This window comes from Homo sapiens, chromosome 6 (assembly GCF_000001405.40).
Source record: "Homo sapiens chromosome 6, GRCh38.p14 Primary Assembly".
Taxonomy (NCBI): domain Eukaryota; kingdom Metazoa; phylum Chordata; class Mammalia; order Primates; family Hominidae; genus Homo; species Homo sapiens.
This window is the reverse complement of record NC_000006.12, coordinates 142,728,506-142,734,549: the sequence shown is the minus strand read 5'-3', so window position 1 is coordinate 142,734,549 and position 6,044 is coordinate 142,728,506. Positions and strand designations below refer to the sequence as shown.

Below are 6,044 nucleotides of genomic sequence, written 5' to 3'. Positions count from 1 at the left end.
GGATTACAGGCGTGAGTGAGCCACTGCACCTGGCCTCAACCAATACTTTTTAAACTCCTCTATTATAATAGTCTATATTTGATGCTATCTGAAACATCATAATATTTATCATTAAAATTCTTGCTGCAAACTGGGAAAGCCTATATGTAAAGAAGGGCAAAAAGCTAATGGATTAAATATTTCAGTTTCAAAAGGTTGAGGGGTCTAGGCACTTAAACATTTATCCACTTATTAAAAATATTTCTTCAGGACTTACCATATGCCACCCAATGTTTTAGAGACTACAGATATAGCAGTAAACAGGATGAATGAGATGTCTGCCTTTCTGAAATTTATATCTCAGTGACTATAATAAACAAGCAAAGGAGTGAGCCAACATGGTAACCAGAGAGGAAAGCGAAACAGAGAAACATGATTGAAGATGAGCTTCTGTAGTCAGGAGCCCTCTCTGGGAAAATGACGTGATATGGTTTGGATTTGTGTCCCTGCCTAAACATCATGTCGAATTGTAATCCCTAATGTTGGAGGAAGGGCCTGATGGGAGTTGATTGGATCAAAAGGGCAGATTCCCCCCTTGGTGTTCTCGTGATAGTGAGTGAGTTCTCATGAGATCTGGTTGTTTAAACGTGTGTGGCACCTCCCCATTCTCTCTCTTCCTCTGTAAGACATGCCTGCTTCCCCTTCCACCATAATGGAAAGTTTCCTGAGGCCTCCCCAGCCATGCTTCCTGTACAGCCCATGGAACTGGGAGCCAATTAAACCTCTTGTCTTTATAAATTACCCAGTTTCAGGTATTTCTTTATAGCAGTGACAGAACAGACTAATACATGACTTTTGACAGGACATCTGAGCAACGGGAAGGAGCAGTCATGTGGAGACTTGGGGGAAAGGCATAGAGGCAGAGAGTGTAAGTGTAAAGGTTTGAACTTGGCATATCTTGGGAGCAGAGAGTGTGCAGGGTGAGTAAGGTTCTATGTGGGGAGGTGAGTAGGATCAGCTGAGATGAGGAGTGAGCAGAGGCTGATCCCCCAACAGTGCTGCAGGTGAATAAAGAAAGTCAGGTGTATTCTTAGTGAATGGGAAGCAGCTGGAGTACTTTTAACAGGACAATGAAAGGCTTTTTAAGAAACTTTTATTTGGAAATAATTTTACATTTACAGAAAACTTAGGTGAAGAATACAAAGAATAGCTCTATACCCTTTACTCAGATTCACTTATGTGAACATTTTGCCCAATTTGCATCACCATTTACTATCTTTATCTCTAAAACATTTTTGTCTCCACCATTTGAGAGCAAGTTGCATACAGCATGGCTCTTAATCTCTAAACATTTCAATATGTGTTTCCTAATAAAAAGGCTATTTCCTCATATGAGGGTTAATTTTATATCAACTTGACTGGGTTATAGGGTGCCCAGATATTTCTTCAAACATTATTCCTGTTTCTGTGAAGATTCTTTTGTATGATATTAACATTTAAATCAGTTGACTGAGTAAAGCAATTGCCTTCCCTAAAGTGGGCAGGGCACATCCAATCAGAACAAAAGCCCTGGCACTCTACCATGTGAGAGACTTCTTCCTGCCTGAAGGCCTTTGAACTGGCAAAGTCAGTTCAAATGCTAGCCTTTTTTTTTTTTTTTTTAATTCAGACTCAAACCAAAACATCAGTTCTTTCTGTGTCTTGCACTTGCTGGCTTTCAGACTGGAATAACACTGTCAGTTCTCCTGGTTCTAAAGCCTTCATAGTTGGATTAGAACTAAACCATTGGCTCTCCTGGGTCTCCAGCTTGCTAATTCACCCTGCAGATCTTGGGTCTTGCCAGTCTCCATCATCACATGAGCCAATTCCTTATAATCAATCTCTTTGTATATGTGCATGCATTCTATTGGTTCTAGTTTTCTGGAGAATCCTAACTGATATACCTTACATAACTACAGAATAGTTATCAGCTTCAGTAAAATTTAGCATTAATATAGTACTTATATCCAAACTATCATCCATATTCCACTTTTATCAGTTGAGTCAATAACTCCTTTTACAGCATTTTTTCTCTTCCGTACAGGAGCCAGTCTATAATCATACATTGCATTTAGTTTTCATGTATCTTTTATGTCTTTTAATCTGGAACAATTTCTCAGCTTTTTAAAAAATGCTTTTATGACTATTGACAGTCTCAAAGCATGTAGCATCCTCCCTCTTATCCCCACCCACTCCCTGACCCCTTTCCAATAGGGTGATCCTCATTATGTTTCCTCATAATTAGATTTAGGTTATGCGTTATTGGAAGAAATAACATAGAACTGACGTTTGCCCTTCTCAGGGTATCCTATCTGGAGGGACACGATGTCCATCTTCCCCTCGTTGGAGATATTGATTTAAACCATCCACTCAAGTGTTGTATGGTCTGTCCACAGTACTGTCTCTATTTTCTCCTTGCAACCAATAAGCAATCATACAAATATCCTGATTCTTAGTACACTTGACTTCCTAGATTCAGCATTTCTTGATTCTTACCTGAATTTGTCTTTACTGAGACATTTGTGAAATGATGATTTTTCATTCATACTCCTGCCACATTTATAGCCAGAGATTTCCTTTCATTATCTTTTTTTTTTTTTTTTTCTGAGGCAGATTTTTGCTCTGTCGCCCAAGCTGGAGTATAGTGGTATGATCATGGCTCACTGCAACCTTTATCTCCTGAACTCAAGCAACCCTTCCAGTTCATCCTGTTGTGTAGCTGGGATCATAGGCGTGTGCCACCATGCCTGGCTAAATTTTTTTTAACTTTTTTGTGAAGACAAGGACTCATTATGTTGCCCAGGCTTGTCTTAGACTCCTGGGCTCAAGCAATTCTCTCAGCTTGGCCTCCCAAAGTGCGGGATTACAGGCGTGAGCCACCGTGCCCAGCCTCATTATTATTATTATCATTATCATTATTATTATTATTATTAGAGACAGAGTCTCATTCTGTCGCCCATGCTGGAGTGTAGTGGTGTGATCTCGGCTCACTGCAACCTCTGCCTCCTGGGTTCAAGTGATTCTACTGCCCCAGCCTCCTGAGTAGCTGGGATTACAGGCATGTGCCACCATGCCGGGCTAATTCTGTATTTTTAGTAGAGATGGGGGTTTCACCATGTTGGCCGGGCTGGTCTCGAACTCCTGACCTCAGGTGATTCACTCACCTCGACCTCCCTAAATGCTGGGATTACAGGTGTGAGCTACCATGCCCAGCTAAACCTCATCATTTTTTATTTCATTATCTATTATTGGTATGGACTTATGGATTCCGGTTTTTTAATGATTTATTAGTAATTACTGCCCTTAATTATTTAATTTCTCAAATTTTCTAGTGAGGGCTCCTTCAAGTTGTTCCCTGTGCCCTTCTGACAAGTCCCTATCATTTTTGATGGGGAGATATTTCTTTAATTTTTCGGGTAAAGAGATTTTTCAGTATCTTATTGTATTATCTGTATCCCAGACCTGGAAACAATCATTTCATTGAGAAGCCCTAATTCTTTTTAGTGGAGAAGGGTGTCAGAAATCAAGATCTGGGTGCTAGGTGTGGTCACATTGTCACCGTGCGTGTCTCCTAGTTTCATTCAGCAGATAGAGCCAGGAAATGTGCGTGTGTTCACATTTTACATGCATGTAGATACAAATGTATACACAAACACACATTTTACAAATCATGAATCCACATCAGTACCTCCAATTCCAATCCATCATTTCAAGATTCTTTCTTGCCTTTCACAAAGTAATAACAGGATGTTAAAAGATCCTTCTGGCTACCCTGTAGACAATGTTCTCCAGGGTGTGCAAACGTGGAAGCTGGGAGCCCAATCAGGCGCCATTCAGCTGTTCAGGGAAGACATGATGGAAACTTGGACTAGGCTGACAGAGGTGGAAGTCATAAGCAATGGTTACACTTCTGTTTTTAAGGTATAGATTATACTGTAAGGACAGGACACATGTGAGAGAAGGAGAGAAACCACATATTACACTTAGAAATTCAATCCAAGCAATGGCTATGATTCAATAGGCAGAATTTTCAGTGCAGGTGATCTCATTTTTTTAAAGAACAGAAACATGACTTTCTTCAGTAGGATCCCATAGGCTGTGGGAGCAAGCACGTGTTTGCCATGACCAGTGAAGTCCCCACAAACCCAAAGTCTATCATTAAGAAAATACTTTTTAAAGTCAAACATTAAAATACAAAAAGTGTTTGTGATACAGAAATCATGAAGAGGAGGTTGTGTGGCCAAAGAAAATATGTGGATGTTACAATTAGGAACAAGCTCTAGGAATAAGAAAACCAGTCTGCTTTCCAGGTGTTCTTTCGGTTTAAATAATTCCCTAACATCAGAACACCTCTGATGTACATTTCAAAGCAATTACAAAGAAAGCAAGAACTACACTGCCCACTGTTAGAAGAGTTGTGCACCGTAACTATGATAATAAGAGGGGAGAAGACTGACCGTCCACCAAAAATATAACTGCATTCATTTATGTTTTTGCCAGCCATGTTAATAGCAACACACTTTCTGCACTGAAGTCATCGTTGCCTGCTTTTTGATGTGTTTAACTTCTGTTTTCTGCTTTTGTTTCCATTGAACATCATAGCAGAAGCATTTTAATGTTTCTGCCTGTCCCCTGTTTGGGACTACTCATGTCATCTTTTCATAATGTAGATATTTCCACTCCACACCACTCCCCAACCGGCAACCCCCGGACACCCACACCTTCCCACATCCCCACACAATGGTCCTCTAAAATAAAAGCATCCTGAATGCGGACATCACAACTCTTACCATCATGCTTTACCTTATTGCTTACATCCTACCTTGCTTCAGGGTGGGAATGTGTTTCAAGTCACATAAAGAAAAATGATTAATAATTTATCTACTGATGCATTTGATCCTCTAACCAGACACTGGGCTGTCAAATCTGACCCTGCTTTCTTATGCAGACCTACCAAACACAGTTTGATCTGCTTCATTTACTATGTATATTGCTTCCATGAGTGAAATCTCACAGCAATGGCTAGGTATGTACTTACATGTAAGTTTATCTATACATACACACAGCAGCCTCTATCAGGTGCACAAAGCAATCTCGACTATCTAAGTTTCCCAGGTCCTGACAAACAATTCCAGTGGCTGATGACACCTTAAGAACAGCTTCCTGTCTGTTCTGCCTAGGACTGCAGGCTCTGTATCTTGTGCAAAATTCCAGTGGTCTATCTAAAAACTCTGAACAGTGCAGAAAACCTTCCTTATCTCTGAGAGCACAGGGTTCTTTGCAAACAGCACTTCCTGAATTACATAAATAGGAAACACAGCGAATATGATTTATTTCAGATGTTTCATGCTATGAGTTGCGCATCACCAAATCCCCAGGGGGTCTGCAGGGCTGTTGATCTCCTTTGCTTTTGAAACATTAAGGTTTATGATGCACTCATCAAAAAATGTAAAGAGGGATTCTTTCCACATGGAACAGATGCTGATAAGTTGACCTTCGATCACTTGAGAAACCTGATTGGGGTTTACTGATATGAAGAGGAAGTCGAGGGAAAGGAAACAACGCAGAGCTTGAAGCCAATTGTTTTCAAACTGCAGAGTCTGTGGGAATGGGATTTCATACTCATTTTCCCATTACAACTTTGCTCCCTGCCTGCTCTCCTCATTCTCCCACTCCCCCAGCCCCCCACCTCCCCACCCTGGGAAATGACATGTTTAAAACTTTATGAGGCAAGAGATTTTCACATTTATTCTGAAGGAATGCTAATAAACAGATTAAAATGTGAACCTCTAAATCCAAAATGTCATACACACATGGGAATAAACAAATAAGGATCTGACACAGGGAGAAGGGGGCTATACCTTGCAACTCAGATCCACTTTTTCTTGGCATGTCGTTAGCAATTTCCTGGTCCCAGTCCTAAGTGAGGTGTTGCCTGGAATTCTGCCAAATTGGTCTTATGCAATTTGTTACAATGACAGTAGGTCACAATTTTTAATGGTTGGCAGGTGTTCTGGACTTGCCCT

At 40.5% G+C, this 6,044-nt stretch overlaps 1 annotated feature.

Annotated features, from left to right (window-relative positions):
• Window positions 5,292-5,492: a silencer, noted in NCBI's record as "peak6174 fragment used in MPRA reporter construct". NCBI's record gives its function as "represses an SCP1 promoter by STARR-seq MPRAs in K562 erythroleukemia cells {active_cell/tissue: K562}" and the evidence as "EXISTENCE:reporter gene assay evidence [ECO:0000049][PMID:32103011]".